General features: G+C 36.5%; 2 long non-coding RNA genes across 9 annotated transcripts in view; one reads left to right on the forward strand and one right to left on the reverse strand.

The window, feature by feature from the left end:
- The window catches only part of LOC124903309 (uncharacterized), a 98,633-nt gene extending 85,489 nt beyond the window's left edge, over positions 1-13,144 (reverse strand). For 3 of the 8 annotated variants that reach the window (XR_007064142.1, XR_007064144.1, XR_007064141.1), the window contains exons 1-3: positions 10,942-13,144; positions 9,237-9,345; positions 635-756 (exon numbers count right to left, since the gene is read on the reverse strand). This is a non-coding gene — a long non-coding RNA (uncharacterized LOC124903309). Of the gene's footprint in view, positions 1-634; positions 757-9,211; positions 9,346-10,941 lie in introns of all 8 variants that reach the window. The other 5 variants (XR_007064139.1, XR_007064140.1, XR_007064146.1 and 2 more) reach the window with 4 other exon arrangements.
- Positions 6,010-10,304, forward strand: LOC105370480 (uncharacterized). The gene is made up of 4 exons (XR_943827.3): positions 6,010-6,119; positions 7,525-7,610; positions 7,731-7,813; positions 10,053-10,304. It is a non-coding gene; the product is annotated as an uncharacterized LOC105370480 (long non-coding RNA).
- Positions 13,145-15,370: the final 2,226 nt, after the last annotated feature.

A 15,370-nucleotide genomic window follows, 5' to 3' on the forward strand; every position in this document is an offset into this window, starting at 1 on the left:
CTTATAATATCTACCACATAAGCCAAGGACATTGTATGGTTCTCCTTTAGGTTTTTGGTCCAGGTGTGAAAGCAAGCTCTTTAATATGTCTTTTCTTAGTATAATTAGAACTATATAAAATTTCAAAAGTTTGGAAAATTATATTGTTCTTTAAAATTGAGAAAAAAAAGCAAAAACAACCAAAAGCCTGAGAAAAAAATGGAGAAAAGATACAATAAAAAATTCACAGAAAAAGCTATAAAAATGGCTTTTAAACACCTGAAGATATCCAAAATTCAGTCATGAAAAAAGAAATTCAAATTAAAAGTACTCTACCATTTTTCTTAGAAAAGCAAAACTCAAAAGCAAGAAAACATAATTTGTTGCTTAAGTTGTGAGGAAACAAGCACTCTATTGCATTGGACACCCAGAAAATTCAATGTGATAGAGTAGCTTGGGTTATCAACATCTAGTTTGCATATGTTTCACTAAAACATTTAAATACTTGTTACTTGCTTCTCATGAGACTTCATCACGGTAATGTTACCAATATGATGGACTGGCATAACATTATATGGAATGTCTAAATTATTTGGTTTACTCTTCAACGTATCTTCTTTCTAGCCAACATTGAAAAAACATTGCCTATCCTTACCTTTTATTAAAATATAACTGGACTCCAAGATGGCTGTTTTCTTTAATATTGTCGTTATTCTTTTCTGGTCCTTCAGTGGTAGTTGCTTCATATAGTCACTACTTCCACCCAACTCAAAAATTCTTTCCACAAAGGTAATAGAGAAAGAAAACAGTTTTATTATTGAATAAATTTAAATCAGAATGTGATGTTCAGTACAGACAATCTGCTAAGAGATTGCAAACACAAAAAAACTCAGCCTTTTATATAGCCAAGCAGACCCAAGTCATTACATACATATTTTCAAAATAAACGATAACTACTAATTTTTCAGAAAGTAGATTTGAAGGCATCATTTGTCGTAGTTCATCCTAAAGTCAGTCTGGTAATTGAGGTGATAATCTGCATTAGCTAATTGGACTTATTCAGAGGAAAAACTAATGTATATCTTTACAACAGGAAGTACTCCACTACTTAGAGTAATATGTCCACCTAGGTTAGCCCCTTATCTTCCCATAGTAGCTGGAATCTGGGGTTGTTACCTTCCTTATTGTTTACATTTCAAAGAGATGGCTTCCAGATGCTTGAGAAAAGACATTCCTGGGTCATAAAACTGACAAAGATCCTAATTAGTTTTCAAAATGATATACATGCATTTCAAAAAGAGGAGAAAGTACTTAAAATTACAAGTTTAGTTTTCTAAAGTAAACACTCCCAAGAAAAAAGGTTGGAGGTGGGGAGCAGTCTCTCCCTTTATTTTTAACAGGAAGAAATGAGCCTCTTATTTTAAATTTTTATTTGCCTCCACAATGGCTGACAGGCTTTGCTGATAGATTAGATGTGGGGAGTGAGAGAAGAGAGGTAGTTGCTTTTTAAGCCTGAGCAACTGAAAGAAAAGATTTACTTAGATGGAGAAAACATCAGGATAAGCAAGGTGAGGGAAGGGGCAATCAACATATGGGCTTTGGTATATTAAGTTGGAGATGGCTTTTGGACCTTTAGTCATTACCTTAAGCCAGGAGATAGCTATGAAAATTTGAAGTCCAAAGGAAAGGTCTGGATTAAAATTTTTGAAGTCATCACTGTACAAACATTTAAAACCATGGAATGAAAGACAACCATTTTACAGTAGTTCCCCACCCCCTTATCCATGGGGGATACATTCCAAGACCCTCAGTAGATGCCTCATCTCACAGCTATAACCTAACAATATGTCTATGAGGTTTTTCTCAATGTGATAACTGAGACAGCTACTAAGTGACTAATGGTAGCGTAGTTATTATATATACACTGGACAAAGGGATGATTCATATCCCAGAAGGGATGCAGCGAGAGGGTGAGAGATTTCATTATGCTACCCAGAACAGCACAACTGCTTAATATTTTCAGACCCTGTAGACCATGGGTAACTGAGACTGTGAAAGGTGAAACCATGGATAAGTGGGGGACTACTGTATTTATTAGAGATGCTAAGAGAAGAGATTCAAAATCTGAGACCCCAGGAGCACAACAAAGTAAGTTGATTAAGGTAGAAACCAGTGGAGAATATTATGAAGTGGCCGTGAAGTAAAACAAAAAGCCATATGAAAATCTGTCTTCTGTATAGGAAGTGAAAAAAATGTTTCAGGAAGCAGATTAATCATCTGTGTCAAATGTGGCTGAGGTCAAGCCAGTTGAAGACTGGGAAATAATCACTGGATTTCTCAATGTGGAAGACACTGGTGACATTCAAAAGAACATTTTCTATGGAGTTGTGAGGATGAAAGCCTGGCTGGTATAAGTTTGAAAAGGAATGGAAAAGTTTCAGAGAGTAAATATAGACCACTTTTTCCAAAGTGTTGTTATAAATAGGAGCAAAAACATACTGTCTATGTGTAGTTAAATGGAAAATCGGTTTTTTTTTTTGTTTTTTTAAATGGGAGAAATTGTAAGACATGTGAATGCTGATGGGAATGATCCAGTAAAGAGGGGGAAGTAAGCAATAGTCCAGAAACAGGAGGAGGCTGCGGAACAATGTCCTTGACTGGGTGAAAGGGCACAGTGGAGGATATGATTTTTATTTTTGGCAACAATAATTAATCTATTGTAAAGGAAGGAAAGGGTCCAGATGCTAGTTGTTTGGTAGCTATGAGGGTAGGAATTTAGAACATTCTCTTCTCTGACTGCCTCTATATTCTCAGAAAACAGGATGGGAAAAATTGTGAAGAGTTTAAGGAAAGACTATAAGCTATGTCTATGACAACAGGAGAGTATTGTACCAGTGCAATGGAGTGTGATTGCTGGGCAGCCTTAAGAGCTTCTTTGAGGTTATTGCCTTTGAATTTAAAGTAAAAGCAATCCACATGGTTGTGGTTTATTTTTGTTGTTTTTACTTCCAGTTTAGGGGTTGTAGGTACAAACCAGAGCTTGTATTTTGCCAAGCTAATGTGGCAAAGACAAGGGCAAGAGCAAGACAAGGGAGTTGAAATTACAGGAAAGGAAGATATTATAGTAACTGGCCATGGAATTTAAGCTGGCTTAAGAGGGAAGCAAAAAGGTGATAAAATCAGTGGGTTGTAGTTATTGATGGTTATGCCATCAGAGAGTGAAAATTTAATAGAGCTATAGACACTCAAGGTCTTTTCAATAAGGGACTCTGCAGGATAAACCACATCACTAACACATGCAGCAGGCACATTGAGCACTGTAGAGGGTGAAGAATCATTCAGTGTTGGAGTAGTTAACAGCACAATTTTTCTAAATTTCAAAAAATAACAAATTATAAACTACTATGCTTATTACAGTTTAATAGCTTATTCTTCATTACTTATCATTGAATAATGTATTCTTGCCCATTAATAGTTAAATCTAATATAATGGATAAGCTTGTATGTCAATTGAAACTTAACCATAATAATATTTTATTATTTAAAATATATATGAATAATTTAGAAAGCTTTTCAATGATAATCTTATTTATATTTATGCCAACATTATTTTCAACACAGAGCAAAAATTAAACTTCATAACCAAAGTTACATTCATGAATTTTTAAATCTTCCTCTAAGAAAAACAGTTTGCCAAATTTGCTATAGTAATAAATATGTGAGTCACAAGATTCCCTTCTCTTCTATTAAATAAAAATAAAAGAAAATATTCCTCTTTGGAACTAAAGCTCTGGCATGTCCAAAAGTGGAATAGAAGCATATTGGAACATTCATGATTTGGAATATATGCTTTGGTTTGCAAATCTAAAATAAAAAGGATGGCTCAAAATATTGGAGATAAGCTAGTTTAAAGTTCTTCATAAATCATGGCATATTTTCATAAACATGAGGCAAATTTATGTCTCAGGAAGGTTTTGGTATTATTGCTTAAACAAGTGATAAGCCTGTGTACTAAAGATTTTTCCACAAAATATTTCCACTAAAGATTTTTCCAAAGCTTTAACTTTGTATTAGATATTGACATTTTTTGTTACAAAGAAAAATAAATCTTTTTCTGCAGATTGTTAGAACTGGAATACCTAAATATGTCATTGTTTTTCATAGAATAACAATTAATAGATAAACCTGCAGCAACATAGTGGTTCTATACCAAGGAACTAATCTAATGTCTATTTTTCAATAACAATAACAACAACAAAATCATTTTGTGTCAGATTGCTGAGTGAAGTGAAAGGGAGATATGAAACTGATTTGTGATGGCGTTTGGGTGCCGACCAAATAGAGAACTGAAGAGGACCATTGGGAAGTCATCTTGGGAGATATCCTTCAAATCACAAGGGAGATTACAGATGAACACATTTACGGGTTTTGCTCTCAAGAGTAGATTTTACTGAGTGCAAAGCAGGAGGCTGCCACAACTGTAAAGGTATTACCTGTGCCTTTCAAAGCTACACAGGTGTCCCTTGGTATTTATTTTATTGAAAAAAAAATGTGCTAGAGTATTCAGATGAGTGTCAGAAAAATAATTTGTAGAGAGTCATGTTTATGAATTGTTCAGTGATAGAGTAATATATTTTTAAAATGTTACAAGTATGCCTAAAAAGTCTTCTCTGTAAAAGTAAAATTTATTCATATTATCATAAAACAACTATTTATTTTTAGCCCAATATGTGCAAAGCAATGTATTAGAGCCAAAGAATAAAATTATCAAATCTGTTTTTTTAACTGCATCAAATATATCAAGTATATACATATCTGTATATGTATTAGCTAGAGATTTTTTTTTTTAACCACGGGGGAAAAACAAACAAACAAACAAAAACAGCATAGCATCTAGTCTCACGACTTTAGGTGGTCATAGTTCCCAAATTCATATTCACAGGCCAGGCATTGGCGCTGAAATCGAGATAGTCTACTTGGCATTTCCACTCAAATATCTAATGGGGATCACAAACCCAATGTTTCTAAAATAAACTGTGATTTTATCAACTAAAACTTGCTCTTCTTCCCTGCCTTTATATTCCAGTAAATGCTTCTATGTGTTTATTTCATTTCTTGCCCCTCATATTCTACAACCAACAGTTAGATAACCCTAGCTACCTCGCACATACATCTTTTTTTTTTTTTTTTTTGAGACTGAGTCTCACTCTGTCACCCAGGCTGGAATGCAGTGGTGCCAATTTCGGCTCACTGCAACCTCCACCTCCCAGGTTCAAGCGATTCTCCAGCCTAAGCCTCCTGAGTAGCTGGGACTACAGGCTCGCCACAATATCTGGCTAATTTTTGTGGAGAGTCATGGCTACATGCTACAGGAGGGCCACCATATCCGGCTAATTTTAGTAGAGACAGGGTTTCACCATCTTGGCCAGGCTGGTCTCAAACTCCTGACCTCATGATCCACCCGCCTGGGCCTCCCAAAGTGCTGGGATTACAGGTGTAACCCCAGCCTCTCTCACATACATCTCTAATTTATCCATGTATTTCCTTCTCCACTGCTTCCATCTGACCAAAAACATCATCTTTTACTTGGACTATTGTAATTTCCTTACTGATCTCTTATTTTCCATCCTTGCATCTACCTCTCAAAATATTTTAAACTCACAGAAGAGCCACGATGATCTTATTAAAATGTATATTTTTTAAAAAGGTCAAAATATAAACCAAATCATGTCACTGTGTTAAATCCTTCAGTGGTTTCTAATTGCATATTGAACAAAATTCAAATATTTTATTGTGAGTGCAAATACCTGGATTACCTGTTATCTTCCCATTTCTTTTACTGCAGCTCCTTTTCCTCTCCCCCAAAGCACTGATAGCTAATTCTAGTGAATTTTCTTTGACTATGCCATCACTTGTAAAGCCTTTGTACTTATTCCTTTAAATTCCTCTCCCAGCACATGTGTCCGATAATGGCCCTCCTTGGTTATTTGTTATAGAATTTACACCAATCTGTAATTATCTCCTTTATTATTTCTTTATTTCTCCTATGTCTTTTTATTAGATTGCAGGATCCAGGAAGGCAGGAACCTGGCTGCCTTTATTACTACTGGAAGCACATAGAATAGGACCAGACAAAAACGGTATAAATGTTTTTTGATTAAAATAATAAATATAGTATTCCAAATATTCCCATTACTCCTGATTCTCTTTCAGTGTTTATTAACAGTGTATACATTATCTATACTTGCCTACATAATTGCAATCACTACAAATATTGTAAGCAGTATATAGAACCTTATTATTTAACATGATCTTTTATATAAGTGTCCACGGTAGCATCTTAGTTCAGTTCCATTTAACAAATATGTATTGCACATGTATTGTATATCAGACTTTGTGTTAGGCACTGGTTACACAGAGATTAATACAGTATGGTTCACTGAAATATTATTAATGCTTGTAGTTCTGGAAGGATCATAGGTGATTTTTATTTCATTCATCTGTTGTTTACTCTTCATACTTTATTAATTCTTTACATTTTGTGATAAAATATTTTTGTTTACTGATTCTAAAATAAATAGTACATGTATGACATGAAAATTCAAAGAATATAGATGTGTATGTAAGAGGACATCAAAAGTCTTTCCACATATTCTTCATCAATCAAATAGCATTATTTTTAGTTTTATTCCATGAAAGCCAATTATAACTACTGTTATATAGTCAGTTATTAACTCATCAGTATGACAGGGAAATCTTTTCATGTTTATACAAGTATTTATAACCTGACCTTAATTATAGCTGCATAATAGTCTATTATTAATTACTTAATTATTTAATCTATCTTCCGTTGTTAAAATTTTGCAAAAACAAAAAGATAAAGCAAGTTTGAACACTCATCAAATTACTTATGTTAGATGAATTTTATACCTTTACTTATCTCATTTTTAAAATCTTTTTTATGCAGTATGAGTTTCTTTAAACAAAAAACACACTTCTATTTAACCTATACTTATTAGTTACAATTACATGTGTGATTGGTATTAGTTTTCTATCATTTTCAATATCTTATATTCATTTTGCTTTCTTACTTTTTCTTTCTTCCTATTTTTTCCCAAATTGATAATTTTTTTCCATAGTTTTTCTCTCTTTATAATTTTTCTGTATTGCACTCATTTTCAAGCATGGTGCTAGAATTTCCTGCACTGTTTTTATCTAAAAGTTACTCTGATAGTTCATTTTGTACTAGAGCCTGCTCTGGATAGTTTAATTTAACGACATCTTGAATCACACTGAGAATACAAATTAAACTATGCTATCAACTTAATTATGTCCCCCTGTCTCCCAAATTCATATGTGAGGCCATAATCCCCAATATGATGCTATCTGAAGATGAGTCATTGAGAAGTAATTAGTGTTATAGGAGGTCATGAGGGTGGAGTCTTCATGATGGAATTAGTAGATTTATTTTAAAAAATAAAGATCTCTCTGTCACTTTCTCTCACCACTTTCTCTCTCTCTCCCTCGCCCACCTGCCACTTGAAGACAAAGTGAGAAGATGGCTGCCTGCAAGCCAGGAAGAGGGTCCTCACCAGGAAACAAATTTTGGAGTTGAACAAGCCTCCAGAATTGTGAGAAAATACATTTCTGTTAAGTCCTGCAGTCTGTGGTATTCTGTTATGGTAGCTGAGCTGTCTAAGACAAATTATTAATGTAATCTTTTGCATTTGGCATCAACTCCCTTTCCCTAGGGACTTCAGCTTCTGTACTGAATCCGAGGACCTCAACCTCTGTACTGAATCAACCTCTGTACCGAATCTACTTATGCTTGCAGGTGATAATCTACATCAGTAGTTCTCAAAATGTGTTATGCTTCATAATTACATATTGAGATTTTTATTTTCTAAAAATGTGCTTACCTGACACATCTTGGCATGTCCCAAATCAGAATCAGGAAATCCAGAGAGGCCTATGATCCAGGGTATTTTAAGAAAGCTTTTCAGGGAATTATTATATGCACCCTTGATTAAAAAAAACCAAGTGGGTCATATTGACATATTGGTAGTTTGCTTGGACTCCTTCAGCAATTGTATAGATCAATATTTCATTGATTTTGATGATCATCTGACCAATCCTCAGGAAGTGGCAATGAGCCCAGTTTAGTATTAAAGTTCAATCCATTCAATGAACGAATTGAATTGAATTTCCTGAATAAGTAAACTTGGGAGTAAAATGCTGCAGCTAGGCCTTTTGGTGGCCAGGTTCTCCCGTGGCCCTGCTGTGGTTTCTTAGAAGTGATTTCATTTGGTAAGAGCTATAAGTTATCAGTTGAAAGTAGGGTTAGACTAAAAGCTGATCACCTTAGTGATTTTCACTCCTGAGTGTTTTATCAAGACGAAACTAGTTAGAGATTCTGCCTCATCTCATTTTCATACTAGCAATATCAGGAACCTGTAATGTTAAGTTCCTCACTTTACCTTTTGAAGTGCATTTGGTGCACCAATATTGTTTGTCCCATTCCAATTTTCACGCAATTACCCACCCAAAGCTCTTACTTTCAGAAACTTCTTCCCTTGGCTTGGGACAGAATGGGAGGAAATTATTTACATATTTCTCTGAAAGTCCTTCCTTTTCAAGTATGACATCATAGGTGTTTCAGCATTAATGGCCTTTTCTTTCAACTTGACTCCCTCTGCTTAACATACTACAGAAATTTCGGAAAGTTCCTAGTTGTTTTCTTATTTTCACGAGGAAGAAATCTGTAGTCTCTTCTTGTCACCACTGGAGGGCGACCAAGTTCTTGGCGTCTTGAACAAAGAATTGGCCAAAATGCACAAAGGAAGGAAGGAATTAAGGGATTTATTGCAAATAAAAGTACACTCCACAGTGTGGGAGTGGGACCAAGCATAGGGGCTCAAGGGCCTCATTACATAATTTTGGGGTGTTTAAATACCCTCTAGAGGATTCCATTGGTTACTTGGGGTACACCCCATGTAAATGAAGGGATAAAGTAAAGTTACAAAGTTATTTACTTGGCCTACACCCTATGGAGACAATATTTCCTGTCATAGCTGAAGTGTGAATTGGCCTTATGTTCCCTGCCTTCAGACCCTCTTTTCCTGCCTCATCTCCCCCATGAGAGATGTGACCCCATAAATCTTTATGGGAGGCAGAGAAACCGATGATCTTTTTTCTGTATCTGCTTCATGCTGGCTTGAGGTGTAGTCCCTACCTACTGAGGATCATGGAACTCTCACCCTGCTCTGTCTGGTGAAGGCAAGGTAGCTTCTTGATGGCCAGGGGTGGTGTCTTCACCTGGAACTGGCTGGAACCTTTGTTGCATGATGATGTGAAGCTTGATGGTCTCTAGGCAAGAGGAAATGAATTTGGTTAAAAGATTGTGAACTTCATGGGGTGGATACCTATGCTATCAAAAATGTTTGTTACAAAGATTTGCAGCAGGAAAAAAAACAAAATCTGGTTTGTTCTAGAACCTATGTGTTTTCTTAACACACAAGCAACTCCGTTTTGTTTGGTTTGGTCTGTTGGGGCCTAGTGCATGAGCTTAGTCCAAAACAATGGTCCCCAGAATTTTGTTTAAAAAAAACTCCCCCGGCCAGGCGCGGTGGCTCACGCCTGTAATCCCAGCACTTTGGGAGGCCGAGGCGGGCGGATCACGAGGTCAGGAGATCGAGACCATCCCGGCTAAAACGGTGAAACCCCGTCTCTACTAAAAATACAAAAAATTAGCCGGGCGTAGTGGCGGGCGCCTGTAGTCCCAGCTACTTGGGAGGCTGAGGCAGGACAATGGTGTGAACCCGGAAGGCGGAGCTTGCAGTGAGCCGAGATCCCGCCACTGCACTCCAGCCTGGGCGACAGAGCGAGACTCCGTCTCAAAAAAAACAAAAACAAAAACAAAAAACTCCCCCTTTTTGGTCAGGTTCTCACTCAGGTGAGAGTGTGACCAAAACTTAGGGCCTTAGCACCATTCTCAGTTACCATCGTTTTGGGTTTCCTGTCTTAACACGTCATTCTTAGGTTACTGTGTCCTCATGGTTGCACATTTCTTTTAGCTCCTGTCATTCCAGTTGAAGACAGACCACATGACATTCTACAGATGGCTGCATGTAAGCATTTAAAACCTTTGAGAAAATACAGTGCACCAGGGAGACTATTATTATGACTATTGGGAGGATAATACCAAGAGTTTGGAGTATGCTGCTTACCCAAGGTCACCACAAGCCAAACCTCCTAAAATCAAATGGATCAAAAAATAAGCTAGATAAAGAGTGTGCTCACTTAACTAAGTAGTCTCTTTGTTAATCCCCTACCACTGAATTTCTATAATCTTCATTTGATGTATTTTTCCATAGGCCACAAGTGCTAGTGGCTGCACAGCTGCTTCTTTGTTTAGCCAATTCTATTATAACTTTCACAAAAGAATTTAAAGTCTGTTGCATAACTGTAGCCTTTACAGTAGAATTTGCTATAGATGTTATCATGGGAAATACATTTCTAATCATTGCCTCTTTTACTTTAAACCACAGAAAAAGGAACTAACAAATGATCCCTTTTAGAAGAGTGAAGGCCTCCTGGCAATGTTCTCTTTAACCCATGATGTGAGTTAAGAGGAATCAACCAATGTTTTGTTTTTGACTGATTATGAGGCAACGTACATACCATTAAAGTTCCTTACCTACATTGGGCCTTCATCTTTTATCTATCAAAGTATAAGTTTATGTATAAGGCTGGCTATAAACTTCTTCACAAATAAAAGTACACCCCGTAAGTGCACGTAACAGACCCCTTTTCCACTTGTATTGTTTATAAAGGCATAAGCAAGGGAAAATATTCAAAGATAAGAGTTTCATGATAGAAGTCTTCATCTGCCAACTTGGGAAAAGCTATTCACATTAAGGATTCCATCTTTTTCTTGGAAGACATTTCCCTGGTTAGTTTTACCTTAAGGGTTCCAACGGGTGTACAGTTCTGAGAGTGTAGAGGGACCCTTCTCATTTATGAGATTATGAACCCAAACTTCAAGGTCCTAAAGTTTTTGTTGTAGTCTGGATGGCAAGGACAGTCTTTCGCTGATGTTTTCGGAAGATCCAAAACATAAAAAGCTTTTTCACCTGCTGAAAATACACTGTTGCATAATAATCTACTGTTACAACATCAGCCCTCTCGCATGGGAAAGCTTTATACAACCAGAAAACATGCATGGAAAATAACAATTGAATGAAATCCCTTTATAAAAGGTTTAAATGGCCCACCAGGTGACCAAATGTACCTGAAGCTTTAATTGTTTTCCCAGGCATATAGGACCAAACACTGATAATAAACTATTTTAGTAATTTGTAAGTCACTACACCATTGTATTCAATCTGGATCATTTTATCTTTTCCATGATGAGTCATGGAATGCAGAACTTTTAATAATAAGAGCTTTAAGGACTCAGGAAGGACAAGAAGGCCATCTGGTTCTCCATGAGTCCATACTTAATCAACATTAGACTTCTATGCTCTTGAATACCAGTTTTTCCAAATTAGGTGCATAGCACTGACAAGGAAATTTAGTTATTCCTGTGGTTATTTAATTTAATTATTTAATTTGGTTATTACAATAACATAATAACCATACTTAGACATTAGAATTTTAGAAATCCCATGCAATTTTGGAACATATATTAGCATTATTCACAAAAATATAACCTAAAGAAGACTGAACATCATTTTAGCAATCCCATGTACCTAAAAATGTCAAATAATTCTGTTTACCTCTTTTCTGGATGTTTTCAGGGGCTCTCTGATCCATCCAAAAAGCCAGGCATTCAGAAAGAGAATTTTGAAACTGAAGTTTGACTTTGGAATTCCAGATTCCCATAAATTATATATTTTGCCAAAATGATGACTCAGAAATTTTAAAGAAGCAAAAACCTTTTGTAACCTTTTACAGGGAAAAAAAACACAATTTACTGTTCTTACATACCTTGCATGTAAAATTGTTTCTAGTAGTCATAATTGCATGTTACAAAGGCAACTCTTAGCAATTTTAACATAAAACCTGGAAAGTTATGTTCTGAAAAGGTTTGACTATCTCCAGCATAGCTAGAGAGATGTGGCCAACTCCACATGTCCCCAGGCCTTACCTAGCTGGAAAGCAGGCAAGTTAAACAATTTTCAAAAGCCAAAGAAACAGTTTATGACTTTAAAGTATTTAGAAAACCTAAGATTTGAACATAATTTAGACCACATGTTTACATTTTGAAGACATTTGTATTTTACCAATAATCTTTAAAACTGTTTATTTCCCAAAAGATTACTCAAGTCACATGAACTAAATAAAAGACATTATGTTTTTCACTTTTCTGACAAAGTATTTGATTTAAGCTCTTATTATTAAACAAATTAATGTAAAACTTTACAGAGGAGATAAACAGGTGACTTATACCTTTTATTTAACCAGTTTACATAGAGAGAAAGAGGCCAGAGACTGGCTGGTAAGAAATTCTTACCCTTTTGCTGGCATGCCAGGTTCCTGGGCTCTCTCTCCCTGAGCAGCCCTAGTGACCCTGCTTGACTGTATGCAAACAAACACATTGCCATGAGTTAAGAATATTCACAGTTTACAAATTTTGGACCAATTAGGCAGAGAGAGAGAAATATGATTCAAATTCCATTTATGAAAGTATGCTCAATACACTTAAAGTATCAGGAAGCCTAAAATCCAAAGTTAGTTTAAGGTTAAAAGTCTGATGTGCTCTATCAGTTCTTGTGGGCCAAAGGTAGCCTAGGAATTTAAGATAAATGAAGAGTAAACAGCAAACAAATGAAAACTAGAAGCTAAAACAAACAGGAAACCAACCCTAAATTTTTCTACTTAATTTACCCTGAAGACTACAGTGTTACCTAGGGTCTCAGAAAACCCACATAATAAGTATTTTATTCCTAATACACAATTAAATACCCTTACGTTCACCAATATTGTCATATCTCCTGTGCAATCAAGAAATTCACTTTAGGCACATGACCAATAAGTACTCTAACACTATCCACACAAAATGGCAAATATAGTGTGAAGCAATGCAGGCACGTATATGAAACTTGGCCTCACACTAAATCCAGCTTCATGCTTAACTATATTAAAAAATGAATTGCCAAACTGCCAATGCATTTCTCTTTTTTTTTTTTTTAGATGGAGTCTCGCTCTGTTGCCCAGGCTGGAGTGCAGTGGCATGATCTTGGCTCACTGCAACCTCCATCTCCCAGGTTCAAGCGATTCTCCTGCCTCAGCCTCCTGAGTAGCTGGGATTATGGGTGCACACCACCACACCTGGACACTTCTTATTTTACTTTAATTTACTTTAATCAAGATTAAGAGCTTTAACTATGAAAGTGTTAATTAGCCAAATGTCTCCAATTCTCTACCAGGTTTTAAAAAACATTTTATTAGGCTGGGCGAGGTGGCTCACGCCTGTAATCCCAGCACTTTGGGAGGCCAAGGCAGGTGGATCATGAGGTCAGGAGATCGAGACCATGGTGAAATCCCGTCTCTACTAAAAAATACGAAAAAATTAGCCGGGCGCGGTGGCAGGCGCCTGTAGTCCCAGCTACTTGGGAGGCTGAGGCAGGAGAATGGCGTGAACCCAGGAGGTGGAGGTTGCAGTGAGCCGAGATAGCGCCACTGCAATCCAGCCTGGGTGACAGAGCGAGACTCCATCTCAAAAAAATATATATTTTATTATTTAAACTTTTTCCACATCTTTCTCCCCTACTTAATAACTCCTAACTACACTGTTTCATAAGTAACCTTTGCAAATCTGTAATTTGAACTAACTTTTAGATAACTTCTGAATTAGACAAAATTATTCTTTTTTCACTAATAACATAACCCTTTATGGCACATTTTGTATACAGAATTTTTGTCCTTAGAACTAGAATTTTTATCCTTAGTAACCTAAAACTTTAGTGAAACCCTAAAAAGCAAGAAATCCTGACCTATCAGATATGAGCATTTATAGATCAGAACTATTCCACAATTTTAGAAACATATTTCCCATATCATAATCCTTTCTTAATTGGAAATGACCCAGATATTAAATGAGCATCAAAAATAAGTTTAAGATTTTAATTTACACAAAAAGTTAACCTAAAATATTTATCCCATTCACTGTACTTAATTTTTACTTTTTTTTTTTGTAACAGAGTCTCACTCTGTGGCCCAGGCTGGAGTGTAGTGGTGAGATCTTGACTCGCTGCAACCGCTGCCTCCCAGGTTAAAGCGATTCTCCTGCCTCAGCCTCCCGAGTAGCTGGGATTACAGGCGTGGGTCACCATGCCAGGCTTTTTGTATTTTTAGTAGAGACAGGGTTTCACCATCTTGGCCAGACTGGTCTTGAATTCCTGGCCTCAAGCAATCCGCCTGCCTCGGCCTCCCAAAGTGCTGGGATTACAGGCTTAAGCCACTGTGCCTAGCCCTAATTTTCACTTTTAACAAGGGAGACATGAACCATCAATCCACATAGGTAAAATGAACATTGATTTGTTTGGAAAGGCAGGACAAATCGAGTTGGGGAGGGAGTTTGAGGACTTTCAGATCACAGGTAGGTGGGAGACAAACAGTTGCATTCTTTTGAGTTTCTGATTAGCCTTTCCAAAGGAAGTAATCAGATATGCATTTATCTCAGTGAGACTTTGAACAGAATGGGAGGCAAGCTCACCCCAAGCAGTTCTCAGCTTGAAATTAACACTGACATTTAAAAATATCTAGCAAAGACAAACATAAAATTCAGACAAAATGTATGCTGACAATTCCGAAGGCATTTCTATTTTTATTCCACCAAAAATTTAAAGCTAGCTTGTTCAGTAAAGTTATACTTTAAGTCACGTGAACTTGAAAAATGCTTAGACTTATTTTACTTATAAGCCAGTTTGGTAGACACAACATATAACAATAAGTGTACATACAAATAAACACATCTAGACATGTATGGACACACATAAACGAAGATCCAATAGCTTGGAACCTCAGCCATGAGACAGCAATATGAGCTTGCCAGTTTTACTTCGCCCCAATAGATAATCCAATGAAGGCTGTGAACCAAAATTTCGGGTAAAGCAGTCTCCATGGCAGTTTCATTTTTAGGGGCCAAACCTCCCCAGACTCCAAAGAGTACTCGGGCCAAATAGTACCAAAGGAGGGTGTCACATGTTAACTAGGCCCCCTGCTTAGGACAGCAGCACAAGAGCCTGGATACATGCAATGCCATCCCACTACCGAGTAGACCGTAAACTCCAGATTCAAAACAATATTGGGGCCAAAAAGCATTGCAATGATGAGAGAAAATTCTAAGGAGGGTTTAATACTTTTAATACTAGACCTCAGAACCTAT

Source organism: Homo sapiens, chromosome 14 (genome assembly GCF_000001405.40).
Source record: "Homo sapiens chromosome 14, GRCh38.p14 Primary Assembly".
Classification (NCBI taxonomy): Eukaryota; Metazoa; Chordata; class Mammalia; order Primates; family Hominidae; genus Homo; species Homo sapiens.